The sequence below is a fragment of the Homo sapiens genome, chromosome 1 (assembly GCF_000001405.40).
Source record: "Homo sapiens chromosome 1, GRCh38.p14 Primary Assembly".
Classification (NCBI taxonomy): domain Eukaryota; kingdom Metazoa; phylum Chordata; class Mammalia; order Primates; family Hominidae; genus Homo; species Homo sapiens.
Genome location: NC_000001.11, coordinates 147,521,205 through 147,538,692, shown reverse-complemented (window position 1 = coordinate 147,538,692; position 17,488 = coordinate 147,521,205).

Below are 17,488 nucleotides of genomic sequence, written 5' to 3'. Positions count from 1 at the left end.
TTTTTAAATCTCATGATATCTCCTATAAGTAGTTAAAGAAAAAGAAAGCATGTGCCCAGGCCCCCAAACAACCTTTAATTTTCCAATTCCTCCACTTGGCAGAGGACAGAGAATGCCAGGCCTCCAGGCCAGAACATGTTGGTAAGAACACCAGGTCAGACTATCTTGCCTCCAGCACTGATGGCTTCCACCTGCCAACTCCAAAGAGAAAAAAGAAATTCCAAGTGGATAAGTGAACAAGGTCAATGCATGAGCATTTCTAAGTTTATTTTACAAGACTTATGAAAGCTAAGCATGGAGTATAGATGAAAATGTCCTAGATTCTTAGGCAGAAGAACTGTGAGCACGAGCCTTGCTATCTGAACCCTATTTCCTCAATTATAAAATAAGCTAATGACATTAGCTCTAAAACCCTTTCCAGTTCTGAAATGCTATCATGCTAATAGTTATCTGGTTGATGAGGAAAAGACTAGAAGCCAGACTGGGCGCGGTGGCTCACGCCTGTAATTCCAGCACTTTGGGAGGCCAAGGTGGGCGGATCACGAGGTCAGGAGACGGAGACCATCTTGGCTAACACGGTGAAACCCCGTCTCTACTAAAAATACAAAAAAATTAGCCGGGCATGGCGGCGGGCGCCTGTAGTCCCAGCTGCTGGGGAGGCTGAGGCAGGAGAACGGTGTGAACCCGGGAGGCAGAGCTTGCAGTGAGCTGAGATCACACCATTGCACTCCAGCCTGGGTGACAGAGCAAGACTCTGTCTCCAAAAAAAAAAAAAAAAAAAAGAAAAGAAAAAGACTAGAAGCCAAGGTAACTGATGAGGTGTGTTTGGCATGTATGTGTGTAAATGCGCTGGAGGGGGTTTAAGGAATGGAACAAGAATTAGACCCTATCTGGGCTGTTCTACCCAGATTGCAACACACCTCTTCCAAAATGCCTTCTACATAATATCCATTTTTCACTTTATTTTGTTTCACTGCTACAGCTCTCACCAATTACAAATTCACTTGCATTATTAATAATTTTTTTAAAATGTAAACACCTCTAGAAGGGATAAGGGAAGTCAGCCTTTCCTACTTTAGCATGAATTATTTCATTAGCCTACTTTTCTACAAATTCCTATATCATATCAAACAGCCATTTAGAGTAGAGGGAGAAGAGGAAAACAATAGTAGGAGCAGGTAGATAGTTTTGTAACTTAGAAGACTCCTTGGTGTACGGCAGGCCTGATTTGGGGGCTGTACAGGGCAGTAGAAAGAGAAGGGACACTAGGAAACAAGACAAGCTGTAGGAGGTGAGAAGATGTGAAAAGCAAAGACTTTCAAAACTTTTATCTAGCCCAGCCCAGAATGAATTGAAGGAGCTTCATAATTCTCCACATTCCCTCTCCCTTTTCCTGCATCTGGCACAGGCTCATAATAGGTTCCTATGGGTTCCCTATGGGACTTAATGTTCATTCAAAACATGGGAGAAATGCTCAGATTTCTAAACAACCAACTTACAAAATAACCTTACAAACTATAGCCCATTCATAATTTGACATCTACCTACATGTATATATTTAACTGTGGAAAAGAATGTAGGAGTGGGACAAATGAGACTTCTCCACATTTCTGGAAAGGTGAATTATCTGACATAAAGGAGAGAATCGAGCAGAAAATCAAGAAACAGATTTCAAGATTTACCAGATAAAGGAGCAATTTAGAGGCTGGCAAGATTAGAACTCACCTAATCTGAAAATAGCTACCTCTTACTAATAATAACTATAGAAAAACATAGCACTCCCCAGTGATTAAAAGCCAAGGTAAAATGGCTCGTTTTGGAATTAAAAGATCCAGGTTCTGATATTAGTGTGCTTACAAGCTAAATGACCTTGACCAAGTCTTTTAACTTTTCTGAGACAGTTTCCAATGAGTTACTATGTAAATGAGCTTTACAAGCAGTAAAGTGCTATACAAATTTTAGCTAGTAATATATAATAATGTTTAGTAAGAATAACAGCGCTATGTGCTAGGCATGTGCCTTACATGCATTATCTCATTTAATCCTTGCAATTCACCCTATAAGGGGAGTACTACTATTGGGAGTACTACTAGTGGTGTTTATGTACTTGGTCTCTAGAGCCAGACAGACATGACATTGAGTTACAGGCTCTGCTACTCTGTGACTTTGGACAAGTTACTCAACCTTTCTGAGCTTCAATTTCTTCATCTGTAAAATGAGGATATTAATAGTACTTTCCTCACGGGATTATTTTGAGGACAAAATGAGATAATGAATGCATGTGACATAATTAGCATAGTGCCCAGTACATAAAAAGTAATGAACAAATGTTAGATGTTATATTTGTTCTCATTTTACAGGCTTGCTGAGGTTAAGTACTTTGTCCAGGGTCACACAGTTCATAACTATAAGGGTCTCAAACCTGGTTCTGTTTGACCCAAAGCCCCTGTTATTTCAGCTGTTTCATATTGTCTATCTTGCTATGGATTTTTCTGACCCACAAATAATTGAAGGGACATACTAATTATCATCATTTGTTTTGCCCTTATTAGGTTCCCATTTGAACAGTTAGTCTGTAAACAAACACTCAAGGAAAATATTTTCTACACAGGGCACCTTAGAGAAATGATGTTAATATTTAAAAATACTATTTGAGGCTGGGTGTGGTGGCTCACACCTGTAATCCCAGCACTTTGGGAGGCCGAGATGGGAGGATTGCTTGAGGCCAGGAGTTTGAGACCACTGTGGCCAACATAGTGAGAGCACATCTGTTAAAAAAAATAAAAAATACTACATCAGCGTAGTGCAGGAAGTTAAATAAAAAGCTCAAAAAATTAAAAAATGGAAAAAATAAAAATACTATTTGAAAAGACCCCTCAAAGTGACCTATGGTAGAGTTCAAGCATCTCAGAAAAGCACAGTGACAAATTCATAATTTAGAACTTAAAAATTATGCATTTAAATTTCATCTTTTTCTCTTCTCAGCTAAGCTTCAGGTCAATAGAGAACATTAAGTGGCCAAAAGCTCCAGTATAGAAGAAAGAACAAGGCATCTGGGTAATCCACAAACTGAAATATGTAATATTAGATGGGTAGAAAACTGAGAACTACAGTTCATATAAGCAAAAATATTTAAGGGAACACAACTAACTTATAAATATGTGTTAACAAGAGATTCACATTATTGAACTCTGGTGAGAGGTGGCATCACTGTAGTGAGGAACAGAAATTCCCCTATCCTTCAGAATAAATGAGCGCAGTTTCTTTGTTCTTTTTAAACAATAATAAATCAGAAGGATGGACTCACATATGGGTAGGTTGACAGGATGACCATTCTAGAATTGGCCAACAGACTAAATGCCCAAGATCTTAACACATTTTTTAAAAGCACAGCTTTTTTTTTTTCTGGACCACTTTCTGAAAAAACTCTAATTGTTGCAGAAGACCTAAGAAGGATCCTGATTAACTGATAAGGGAGAGTCAAAGAAATTTGCTTGAGTTCATATGCATTTCATTCGTATTTGTAATTGTTATTTAAATGCATTAACTAATGATAAATTGGAGTTCTGTGCATTTCATGTAGAGATGCGGCACATATGTGTGTGAACACTCACACAGTGTTCCTCTTGTGAACACTGTGAATCCTCAAGTGCTCCTCTTGCAGAAGGAGCAGCCAGGATTGTACCTTATTAGAACCCCAGATATGAAAGTCTTAGAATGTCTATTATGAACATGGTATATGTGTAATAATACAACTGATATTTCAGTAGGACAGAAAAGCCACTTTGTCCTGTCCTAAACTCCTTCTAATGAAGATGTGGAAAGGAGCTTAGAACACTCTGAAAAAGGCCTTATGAATTGATATGAGCCAAAGCAAGGAAGGCACAAACTAGAACAAGTTGCATTTGCTATGGGCTGTGTTTGTAACGCCCCTTCCCTGAAATATGCTTCTGCCTGAAGCTTGCAGCTCATCAGAGCAGAAAGAGGCAGCAGAGACACCAGTGGGAGCAACTGATTTTGGTAAACAATGAACCAACTTCTCCCCCAGGGGAGCAGATCAGAGGAGATGTAATAAACTATGGAGAGAAACTCTCCAGCCATTTGCAGTGACTCATTCGCCAGAAAGAGACTGCTTCTTCTGATTGACCTTGGCTGCTGCAATGGTGTTGAACATGAGCTTACGCTGGCCTTGGTTAATGGGCAGAGAGTTTCAGGTATGACCTGGGGCACTCAGCTGTTCTCAGGGCTGCTTAGATGCCTGCAGAGGCAACAGCTACCTAGGCCACTAGCCACAGCTAAGTAGATTCTCTGCTGAAACTAATCTTGAATTCAGTTTGGACTGATTCTGAGAGGGCTATGTATAAAAGGATTTCTCACCAGCTGGGCTCCAGAGTTCGAGTTGTTCTGCCCTACAGAGCTAGATGGAGATAATTGCTCTGAAACTATTATAGTTGCATTCATAGTACATCTGGATCTGAGGTTGTTTGACCTCTGAAAACCTAAAATGGAAATAATGCAATTATCTGAGCTAAAGACAATTTAATAAAAAGCAGTACTGAAGCCAGGAAAAGGAAATTTATCTTTTATACCATGTCTTTTGCCTAGCAATGGAATGTGTACCTTTCATAAAGATGAAAGATGCATGAAAGGCTGAATAGAAGGTAGTGTTTTTCATTCAGTTCAATAAGTGTTTGCTATTACCTATTACGTGCAAAAGACTGTGCTAGGTCTGGGGACACCAAAATGAGGAAGACTTTTTCCCTGTTCTAAAGGAGCATTTCATCTAGATAGTAGAAAAGAGAAAGATGTACACTAGTAACCATGACACAGCCATCATGAAATAAATGAAGCCAGCAAGTATTATAGGCATTTTGAAGTGCCTGCACAACACATTCCCTCTGTTTTTGGAAAATAATCCCTAGACTACCTGTTCAGTTAAGCTTCTGCACTTATATTTATACTGTATGACCAGTTTCCCTGGCCAATCAGATTCTCTCTCCCATAAATTTATTTATTTATTTTGAGACAGAGTCTAGCTCTGTCTCTCAGGCTGGAGTACAGTGGTGCGATCTCAGCTCACTGTAACCTCCGCCTCCGGGTTCAAGCGATTCTCCTGCCTCGGCCCCTGAGTAGTTGAGATTACAGGCACACATCACCATGCCTGGTTAATTTTTGAATTTTTAGAAGAGACGGGCTTTCACCATGTTGACCAGGCTGGTATCGAACTCCTAACCTCAGGAGATCTACCCACCTCGGCCTCCCTAAGTGCTGGGATTACAGGCATGAGTCACGGTGCCTGGCCTTCTCCCAGATATTTAAAAGTAGGGTTCACGGAAGCTAGTTGATCTCTATTAGTTCTTGAACTGATAAAACTGATGAGGAAAAAAAAAAAGAAATAGACCCACTCAGAGACAAAGAGATAAGAATCCATGTGGCCCAAGCCAGAGAGAGAGAGAGAGAGAGAGAGAGAGAGAGAGAGAGAGAGAGAGAGAGAGAGACAGAATGAAGCCCGAAGCCCTGGTGGAGGTTTCCTGAATTTAGGCACACTAAGATGTTCCTAGTTCTAAATGATTCCCCTTTCTCCCTCCCCCTAGACTGGTTCTAATGGATTCCTTTTGCTTGCACCAATAGAGTGAAAGTGAAGCTTTGTGGTTCAACCCAACCCTTCTCAGTTGCCAAGCACTGTGCTAGTTCTGGATGAACAGCAGTAAATTGAACACGCAAGGAGTTTGAGGCTTCATAGGAATTTTGGTATGGGGGACACCCAGTGTTTAGTATATACTATAAAGAAGTGCTGAGAGGACTCTGAGGAGGCAGCAACTTTTAATTCTTCAGGGGGATTTTAACAGGTGTGGTGGGATCGTGCATCTCAAGAAGAGGAAAAGGCGCTTCTCACTGAAAAGGGACGGAGGTTATATTAAGATGTTACTTCTACGCTTCATTGCCCCTCTAATCTTCAACCTGGCTCCAGAATGGCAAGCTAGTTTGCTCCCTGTGACCTACAGGCCAAATCCAGCCAGCCACCTGTTTTTACACAGTACAGCAAGCTCAGAATGGTTATTACATTTTTAAATAGTGGTTGGAAAAAAATTAAAAGAATATTTCATGGCACCTGAAAATTATAGGAAATTCAAATATCAATCTCCATAAAGTTGTATTGGGGTTGGGCATGGTGGCTGACACCTGTAATCCCAACGTTTTGGTAGGCAGAGGTGGGAGGATCACTTGAAGCTAGGAGTTCAAGACCAGCCTGGGCAACATAGTAAGACCTCATTTCTACAAAAAAATTAAAAATTAGCCAGGCATGGTGGTGCATGCCTGTAGTCCCAGCTACTCAGGAGGCTGAGGCAAGAGGATGGTTTGAGCCCAGGAGTTCCAGGTTACAGGGAGCTATGATGGCACGACTGTACTTGACAACAGAGTAAGACCTTGTCTCAAAAAAAAAAGTTTTATTGGAACATGGCCACTCTCATTTATTCACATATTGTCTATGGTTGCTTTTGCACTACAACCACAGCATTAAGTAGCTGCAACGGAGACCGTATGGTCTGCAAAGCTTAAACTGTTTTTGTCTGGTCCTTCACATAAAAAAGGTTGCTGACCTGGCTGGGCTCAGTGGCTCACGCCTGTTATCCCAGCACTTTGAGAGGCCGAGGCAGGTGGATCACCTGAGGTCAGGAGTTCGAGACCAACCTGGCCAACATGGTGAAACCCCGTCTCTACTAAAAGTACAAAAAATTTGCCAGGCGTGGTGGTGGGTGCCTGTAATCCCAGCTACTCAGGAGGCTGAGGCAGGAGAATTGCTTGAACCCGGGAGATGGAGGTTGCAGTGAGTCGAGATCGCACCATTGCACTCCAGCCTGGGTGACAAGAGTGAAACTCAGTCTCAAAAAGAAAAAAAGGTTGCTGACCCATCCACCCATTCAGAGGTTTCCTCTGAACATTTGGGAGGTGGAGATGCAACCTTAGAAGAAATATAATAGAAACAAAACCATGTATCAATAAGTACTTTGTAAGATTATTTTAAGAATCATCCATAATATTTGCTGGGCGCGGTGGCTCACGCCTGTAATCCCAGCACTTTGGGAGGCCGAGGCAGGTGGATCACCTGAGGTCGGGAGTTCGAGACCAGCCTGACCAACATGGAGAAATCCCGTCTCTACTAAAAATACAAAATTAGCTGGGCGTGGTGGCACATGCCTGTAATCCCAGCTACTAGGGAGGCTGAGGCAGGAGAATCGCTTGAACCTGGGAGGTGGAGGTTGCAGTGAGCTGAGATCGCGCCACTGCACTGCAGCCTGGGCAACAAGAGAGAAACTCCATCTACAAAAAAAAAAAAAAAAAAAAGATCATCCAACAATTATTTGTCAAATGAGTAAAGACATGTAAAATAGTGTATATGTTTTGGATCTCATAGAATGTATATATAGATATACATATATCTAGTCTGAAAAGTATGCAATAAGCTATCAATATGGATTATTTCTTTTTTCTTTCTTTTTTTTTTTTTTTGTAGATGGAGTCTCATTCAGTCACCCAGGCTGGAGTGCAATGACACAGTCTTGACTCACTGCAACCTCCACCTCCCAGGTTCAAGCGATTCTCCTGCCTCAGCCTCCCAGGTAGCTGGGACTACAGGCGCATGCCACCATGCCCGGCTAATTTTTGTATTTTTAGTAGAGACAGGGTTTTGCCATGTTGGTCAGGCTGGTCTTGAACTCCTGACCTCAAGTGATCCACCCGCCTCAGCCTCCCAAAGTGCTGGGATTACAGGCATGAGCCACCACGCCTGGCCAATATGGGTTACTTCTGACATGTGGATCTTGGAGAATTTTATTTATTAAAAAATAATATAAATAATAACCACTTTATATGGACTGCTTACTATGTGCAGAGCACTGTGTTCATTGCCTTATGTGTATCGCATCTTATTTAAATTTCCCAAGAACTCTAGATGTTAGAACTATCATTGCTCTCTTTTAACAAATAAGAAAACTGAGGCACAGAAAAGTTAAATAAGACCACCCAGTGAGTATTAGAAGAACCAGAAAGTAAACATAGACAGTCTGCTGTGCTTTTAAGTGACTGAATATAGGGCATGGGTCAGTAACTATTAATATAGGGAATGGGTCAGTAACTATTTTATGTGCTTCCTCTCTTTCTAGTGCACCACACTTGGACTTTTTATATTATGCATTTCTTGTTAGAATTTTTAAACACTGGTTACTTTTGTAATCAGGAAAAAATATACTTAAAAATACCTAATATGGTTACTGGCACACAGTGAAGGTGGTGATAATGAGAAAGAGGAGGAGGAGGAGGATGACAGCTTACATTTGTTGACTTCTTCCTATGATCCAGATTTTGGCACAATGTACCAGGCACCTTACATGCTAGTTTAATTGAGGAGGCATTAGATAAATTATTATTGTTGTTATTATTCCTGTCACTATCAGGTGTTTCTTAGAGCCCCAGAGATAGGCTGGGGCTGTGTGGATCTGGGATGGAGCATGTCATCTCAAGTCTCTAGCCCAAGGGTTAGGAAGAAGTTGTTCCTAATACTTCCAGCCCTCCCTTGCAATTTCAGGTGGTCAGAATATGACTGGGTGGACCAGATGACTGCGGGCTTGAGTGACACAGAGTTCTAAATCTGGTTCCAGAATGTATTAGCTCTGTGGCCTTGCTGTAGTTCTTACGTTGTCACAGTTGGATATATTTATCCCATTTTCCCAATCCCACCTTGCCTAGCAGGGCAACAGGTATTCAAGACCACTGGGAAGGCCCTGCTGTCCCACTGGCAGGCCTCCCATAGCCTAAGAGCCTCTCATGAAACATTCATTTCCTTGGGTTAAAGCTCTGCCAGGGAGAGGTGACATATTAAGCCACTGACACCGTGGCAATTTAATTTCATGGAATCACAAGATGTTAGAGCTGGGAGTCACCTAGCATCTAAAGCCTCATTATTCTTGCATCTAAACCTATCTTTTCCTTTTTCCATCTACAGTGGGAGAGGTGTCCCTGCTCCTGTCTAAGCGAATCCTTCTCCTTGCACTGTGGATCCCACCTGCCATTATTCCCTCTCTTTCCCACACTGGCACCACTGCGCGCCTCTCTCCATCAGTATTTAAATAAGCTCATACACTCAGCTGTCTCTTAACTTCTCAGTCAAGCTTCTTTTTTTCTTTTTTTTTGAGACAGATTCTTGGTCTGTCGCCCAGGCTGGAGTGCAGTGGTGCAATGTCGGCTCACTGCAACCTCCCCCTCCTGATTCAAGTGGTTCTCCTGCCTCAACCTCCCAAGTAGCTGCGACTACAGGTGCCCGCCACCATGCCCAGCTAATTTTTTTGTATTTTTAGTAGAGATGAGGTTTCACCATGTTGGCCAGGCTGCTCTTGGACTCCTGACCTTATGATCTACCCGCCTCGGCCTCCCAAAGTGCTGGGGTTACAGGCATAAGCCACCACGTCCGGCCTCAGTCAAGCTTCTCTGAGATTTGCCTGTAAACTTTGAGGGGCAAATGGGAGAGCTCTGGGTATTTAGGACAAGCCTATGTTTAGGGGAGCCTGGGTCGCTTGGAGGAGGAAGAGTGAGTGACACAGAAGTTGGTTGAGAAATGAAGGAGGGAAAGTGGAAGCTTCCTGTGGACAATCTACTGTCTTCCTAATTTTACCTAAAACCAATACTAAGTTTTCACAACAATTAATAAATTATATTGGGTTTGGGTACCTGCTCTGAGTATGCTAGCTAAGTCCTGTGGGAGATACAGCCCAGTACCTACAACATAACTGCCTTTGATATGTTCACAGCTGCATCTGGATACTCAGTTACAGTATCAGCACAGGGCAGTGCATGATTAAGGCTAAACGAATGGTACAGGTTAGTGGTTCCCAAACAAGAAGCATCAGCAAGAGTCATTTGGGAACTTGTTAGCAAGGTAAATTCTCAGGCCGTGGCCCAGACCTACTGAATCAGAAACTCTGAGAGTCCTGGAAACCTGTGTTTTCAAATGCCCCCTGAGTGATTCTGATGCATGCTAGGGTTTGAGAACTGCTGGTACAGGCAATAAGAACCACTGTAGGCTGGAGTTTCAGGTCAGACTTATAGGGCATTTGGCACTTAAATTTGATTCTGATCAGTGGAGTAGAGCAAAGGGTAGAGAGTGATCAAGAAAGAGTAAACCAGATGAACAAATGTATAGATATTGGGTTGCATAAGCTAGAGAAAAGGTGGAGGGAGGGTGCTGAGTGGGGCAGAAAGAGGAGCGGCCTGGCCTGGTTGACGTGGAGATGCCTGCAGAGGATGATGGTGAGGGCAGGAAGCCTTGACTACTAGCTATCATCTGGGGAAATAGAAACCTCTTCTGTGTCTCTCCATAGAGAAGGCTCCACCTACCACATCTAAGTTCTTTCTTTCCTTTACCTTCACAGGCATTCTCTTCCAGTCTCTCATCTCCAGAGGTGAGGATCACCCCTCTCCTTTGACGTTCACAGCTCTGATCCAGGATGGCATTTCTTTTCCTGCCTCCCCCGTCAGTACTTCCTCCTTCTTCCTCTGAATCCACCCCCTCACTACTGCTGCAGATGAAAAATTATAAACCACTCTTGAAAAACTGTTCCTAGAGAGGATACACGATTTGAACAAGTTCCTATTCAAAGCGTCAGGGGAGCGACACCTGCCTCTTAAATTCTGACAGCGTATACCAGGGATTCATTAGGCAGGAACAGAGGATGGTTTTTGGAGTGGGCTTTCTACTGTGCCTCTACAGTTAAGTTACACAGGGACCTTGCAGAAGGCTCAATGTGTTATGATTGGAAGCAGCTCTCTGTGGGAAATCCCTTCCAAAGCCCAGAGGAATCCTTTAAGGTGGTGCAGACTTGTTTCCCAGTGGGATCTTCTCTGAAGACAGAGCCTCCAAATGCACGTTTAGGCTCTGATGTTTAGAGCACCTTATTCCCGAGAGGCAGCCTGGTGTTGTGGGATGTGCAGCAGGTGATGAATGTACTGGAGGAAGGGATTATTTTTTCTCCTAAAGGTTTTTATTGGAAGACCAAGGTGTTAAGCCTGAGCTCTTCTATTTGCTAGCCAGATGATTTTGCCTCATTGAGCTAACTTCTCTTGGTTGCCCTATCTGTAAAATGGGGCTAGTAAGGCCAACTTGCAGAGGCACTGTGAGGATCAAATGAGCGGTCAAAGTGCACTGTAAGTTACGCAGTCCTGCACAACCCTGCCGTTACTGCAATAGTCTCTAAGTTGGTCTGCCTGTTCCCCTGTCCTCTCCCTCCTCCATTAGACCTTGTCCAGTGCTGTGAACTGGTTTTCCCAAAATATGATTTTAATTAAATGGCAGGGTAATATTCAAGATATTATTAATATTTCCCACCTCTGCTTCATCTCCCAACATTCCTTTTCATCTTTCATCCTATATCCATCAGGTAATATGAGGGACAAAGCAAAGAGACAAGTGCTTGTGAATCCAGGGGTTCCAGCCCTTCACCACTTCCAGACCAGGAAAGATCTCGCAACCCTCACGAGGTGCTGTGGCTGGGGCCCTTGTGGAGCAGACCTACAGGATGAGGATGTCCCAGGGGCACGAGGGGGAAAGTGGTCAAGGACCAGCTCCCTTCCCCAGTGTCCGCTAAGCCCCCCAGAACTTGGTCTTCACCCTGAGCATGGGGGACTGGACCATCCATACTGAGGTGTTGCTTTCACCAGAGACTGGAGGGAAGGTTGGAAATAAAGTTCCATGTCAGTTCTTGGATATTTTAGTTTGAGGCTTGACATTTGAAAGGCTGTTACTGACCATGTTGCTTCTGTAATCAAAAGGCCTTAGCAACTCCTTACAGTCTTCAAATTCAAGTCCATATGTTATCCTGTCATCTTAGCTTCCTACAACCTAATCAGCCCGCCCTGCCCCAGCCAATCCATCAGATTTCCCAGTCTCTTCTTCCAGCCCTTTCCTGGCTCCGAAGCTCCAGCTGGGTCTATCCCACTCCCCACTAGGATCTCTGCCATGGAGTCCCACAGCTTCCTCAACTCATTATCTCCTCACCTCCTTTACTTCCTATAGTTCCTCTCACTGATAACAGCCTCACAAGAGACACACTTAGAGGAGCAGAACCTGGGAGCCATTCCAGTCCTCCCTCCACATTTCTCCCTACATCTAATCAATCCTAATATCCGGTAGAGCCTACTTACTCAATATTTCTGGATTCTGTTTCTTTCTCTGTATTCTCACCCCTACTGTTTTAGTTCTGGCTTCATTATTTTTCATTCTGACTTCGGCTCCTGCCTCTTTCCTTACCATCTCCTTGCCTCCCTCCTCCACGCTGCAGAGGTAGCAGAGTATAAGGGTTAAGAGTTTGGCCCAGGAGACAGAGCATCTTTCTGCTCCTTACTACTCAACTGACTTGGGGCAACAGTGCATGCATCTCTCTGGAGATGATAGACATTATTGTGAGGCTCGATGTTTAAATCACAGTTGGCCCTAAATAGTGTAAATAATGTAAGACAATGTTATTATTTATTATCTTTCTAAAATGCAAATGTAATATGTCCTTTCATATGAAATCTTTCAGTGATTGCCCTGTCCTCTGAATAAAGCCCAAATTTCACAGAATGTACTCAACGTGCCTTTATGATCTGATCTCTACCCGTCTAACTACCTCATTTCCCATCACTCTCCAGTGGCCTTTGTACTCCTTCCTCCAATGTGCATCCTAAAGGGCCTTTGCAGCCCTTTGTGCTTGCAGCGCCATGGCTCCCTCCTCACCCACTGAGCCCCCAGCTCATTCCCGGGGAGAACCTTCTGCATGCAACTTTACACCTACCTTGGCTGATACACTTATCACACTGTAATAGACGTTTTTCTTTATGAGTTTGCCTCCCCCATTAAACTACAAACTGTTGGAGGGAAAGAATGATGATGCGTTCATCTTTCAAGCACATAACAAATATTTCAAAAAAAAAGTTTGTTCAGTGCATTGATGAATCAATAATATAACAGCCATATTCATCCCTGCTTCTGTGAACTTCCTCCTAGTGTCTTCTTGCTTGGGATGCCATCCTTCACTCCCATCTGTTTAGCTAATACCACGCCTTCAAAGTCTGAATCAAGTCCCACCACCCTCAAAAAGCCATACCAGACTACTCAACCAGGCAACTCTGATAATGCTCACCCCAAGCAAGCTCTGTGGCCTCATAAAGCATGATCACATTCTGCCCTGTATTGGAGCTATTCTCATACAGATTGACACCAACATCAATGAAGCATATGTTCCTCGAGGGAAGGGAACCCATCCCAAGCTCCCTGTTTCTTATGGCCTTCGGTGCAGTGGGTGCTTAGTGTCTTTTAGATAATGAGTCAGTAAATGAATATATGTGAGCATGAACAAATGAATTGAGGTCTCCCTTGTCTTAACTTACTGTAGCAGTTACCTGTTTTGCACACTTTGAGATGTGATCATATATGATCTTGCTTTATGATTTAACATATTCTCTCTGCAAGAGTTAGGGCTGCCGTGTACGGTTTTTCTTTTTCCCACAACCCCAGTGACAGGGCTGAAAAAAAAATAGAAGTTTTGTAACTACTTCTTGAGGAATTGAACCAGCTCCCTGACTAGAAATGGAAATAAACTGTAAAGAAAAAGAAATTGGTCTGGTATATTACAACAAGTTCCACTCAGTGTATGTGCTTCTGCAAGGCACTGTTTTTCTCCCGTTCAAGTCTGTTTCTCTAGCCTGCAGCTAAACATTACAACCAACTCAGCTCCCACTACTCTCATCCTATTCAGTGCCAATAGCAGTTTTCCTGAGGATCTTTCTTCAGTTAAAGCCTGCAATTGCCTGCTCCTATTCTAAGTTGATCCTGAGGACAAACTTTTGGCTTTATCATCAACTGTCAGACCTAGTAAGATCAGAATAATTTTTTTTTTCAATGACAACAAAAACAGCCAGCACTTAGTGAGAGCTTACAATGTGGCAGGTGATGAGCTAACTGCTTAAAAATATTTAATAACAATACCTGTTTACATTTTATTATAAGAGACTTGAGGCCGGGTGCAGTGGCTCACGTGTGTAATCCCAGCACTTTGGGAAGCCGAGGGGGGAAGATCACTTGAGGTCAGGAGTTCGAAACCAGCCTGGCCAACATGGTGAAACTCCGTCTCTATTAAAAATACAAAAATTAGCCAGGCATGGTGGCACATGCCTGTAGTCCCAGCTACTAGGGAGCCTGAGGCACGAGAATCGCTTGAACCCAGGAGGTGGAGGTTGCAGTGAGCCGAGATCACACCACTGCACTCCAGCCTAGAGGGAGGTGGCTGAGCAAGACTATGTCTCAAAGAGAGAGAGAGAGAGAGAGAGCGAGAGAGAGAGAGGGAGAGAGATTGAGATTTGAATAGTTCAGAAGTATATAGAAAAAAACATGAAATTCTCACCATTTTTTCTGGATTTAGTCAATTAACCCTTATAATAATAGTGAACTGACATATAGTCAGGCACTATTTTATGCATTTCACATACATTAACTTGTTTTAAGCCCCACAAAAGGTTAACTTGTTTTAACCCCACAAAAAGGTTAACTTGTTTTAACCTTTTGAGGTAGGTGTTCTGTTATCAACCCCATTTCACAGACAAGGAAACTGAGGCACAGAGAGGCATAGAAAGATTCACTAACCTGCCAAAGTGGCAGCGATGGAAGCCACTGAGCCCAGATTCAAATCCAGGGAGTCTGGCTCCAGCATCCATGTTCCTTATCATGATTTTACTTCCTTTGGAGTGGTAATAAGGTTATTCTAATTTTATAGATTTATTTATTCATTCAGCAAATATGTATTGCCAGGTGCAATACGAGGCTCTAGGGCTCTTGTAGAGAATAAGGCAGACTTCACGGAGCTCCTATTCTAGATAAGGAAACACTGGCCCTGGAAGTTAAGTATTTGTGGAGCAAGGGTTGTTTAGCCTATAAACAGCTCTGGGACCCTTGGGTCTGACTCTCAGGCTAATGGTCTTAATCCTAGGCCGTACTGCTTCCCTGAAGAGAGTCCCATATTACAGGTCCGGGAAGACTTTGTAAGGATTCCTGCAGGTGGGCAGGCTGTGGTGACCTGAAGCGCGCCACAGCAATGACCAATGTCATTCTCTCACCTTTCCTTCTCTGCTGTCCCCTCTCCCTTCTTCTCCTTATCACTTTCATGTGCCTTCAAGTGTACAAGGGTAGAATCTGACGGGGGCACTCAGGGCCAGAGAGATTGCTGCGAAGAAAAAGCCCACCCCCACCGCTCTCTCCAAGCATTGCATTGCCTCAGCCATCTTTAAACTACCTGAACTTTTAAAAATGTTGCCAGAAAAAAACTATTTAACAATCCTTTCTTCACGCTCTCCAATTATCTTTCTCCTCTTACCTCCCCACAAAATTCAAGGCCTTCTACAATCCTCGTAAGAGGAAAGTTCTGTCCTGCCCCAGTCTCTCATATCATGTCCTCCTCTGGACTGAGTGGGCACCCTTGTACTTCCTGCCTTTTCGAGAAGGTAAGTTGCCCTGCTTCTCTAAGGGTGCAGCCTAGAGCTGTTTTTCAAACTCATATCCCTTTGGTTGCTTATCTTATTTTACTTTTTTTTTTTTTTTTTTTTGAGACAGGATCTTGCTCTGTCACTCAGGCTGTAATGCAACTTGTAGTTCACTGTAACCATGAATTTCTGGCCTCAAGCAATCCTCCTGCTTCAAGTGACCCTCCCACTTCAGCCTCTCAGAGTGCTGGGATTACAGGCATGGGCCACCATGCCCTGCCCTTTGGTTGCTTTAGATCCTCTCCAAGTTCTTGTTATCACACTTCACTTGTGAGGCATAAAACTCAGCATGATCTATGTTCGGAAAGAGTCAGGACTATTACTAAGATCAGGCCAACTTCTGAGCAGGGCTTCTGGTGAATACACTCTGGGGCTGGGTGGGCTGGTGGTTCTGGGAAGATCCCAGCCCAGTGCTGAGGTCTGAGAACTTAAAGAGGTGGTAGGGATGGGAGTCCCACAAAGGATGTTTCAGGGAGGCTGAGGGTCAGCTTCCTCCCTCCCTGCAGTCCTGGGCCTGGGAATGCAAGAACCCTTTTCAAACTTTCACAGATGTCTGAAGGAACTGGGGAAGGAGAGGAGGGCTTGGCTATGTCACTCTCAGTGAAATGTTCCCTACCACATGGGTGTGAGGCTTCCCATCACTCAGGCTTCAGGGAGCTCTCTAAAGACCCCTGGTGGCTCTAAGAGAAGTCCCCATAGGATTGATCAAATGCGGGAGCCAGTTGTGGGCTTCGGAGGTGTAGTAAAGAGAATCTGCACATTCTCCCTGTGCCATATTGCTCGGCTTTCTCCTATCTCTGGAACAGCTACTTTTCAGGGATATAGGGAAAAAGCAACAAGCCCATTTTTAACTTCATTCCATGTTCCCTCCCAAAAAAGGGCTTGTACAGGTGGTTGAATTGGGGGAGTTACGCTAAGAAGTAGGATTGGGACATTTGGGGTCTGTGAAGGCTGAAAGAAGGAAGAAGGAGAAGCCAATCCATGGTTACTTTATCGGATCGTCACTGTGGGCAACCAGAGCTCAATCCTACTTAGAAGGCTATGAAGCCCCTGTAGAATGCATCTCAGACTTGGCAGCCTGCAGGGTGGAAGAGGGAAGTATTAATCTACCAGCGTCTGCTCCCATTGATCCAGTATTGTCCTTTGGGTGATAACTTCCCCATACTCTCAGGTTTGCATGTGTATCAGAATGGCCAAGCAGGTTCTTGCAGGCAGATGTGGCAAAGAAACCGGGAACAGAAGGTGAACACTGCTCTCTGCATCCAAAGACACGGCGCGGCCAGGTTTCACTTGCTCACAGCTGGTTGCTACAGCAATGGCTGAAACAATAAGGTGGGCCCAAAGGAGGTATGTGGGGCACTGGATTCAGGGGATGAATCCTCTTTCCACCTCCCTCCACCTTCAGATTCAGATCCTGCCAATTCGTCAAAGACTAACTCAGTCCCCTCCTGAGAAGTTCTTCTAAAGGAATCTGACCATAGCCAACTTTTCCCTTTAAACTCTCAGAGCAGTCACTACATAGAACTTATTTTTGCTTGATCTGTATAATATACTACGATCATTTCACTCCTTGGATAATAACTTATGGTCAGAGATTTCATGAACCCCAACCCCAGGAGCTTGTACAGCAGTGGATGCAAAACAGGCCTGTCAGTGTTCATTGCATTGAATGGTATAACAATTATAGATAATAAGAGCTCTGCACTTTTTAAGCATTTGCTTCCTTGTCAGCACCATAAGCTAAGTTATAGGAATGGAAGAAGAGAACCTGAGTGAAGGTTTTATTTGGGGCTCTGGATTTTAAATTTAACCTCCAGAACCATGACACTTTCCTGCTCCTCAAGGTCTTCAAGTTATCTCTGCAGCCTTCTGTTTGAAGACATTGGTGGTGCTGGACTGGCCTTTCCAGCTGGTCATTTCT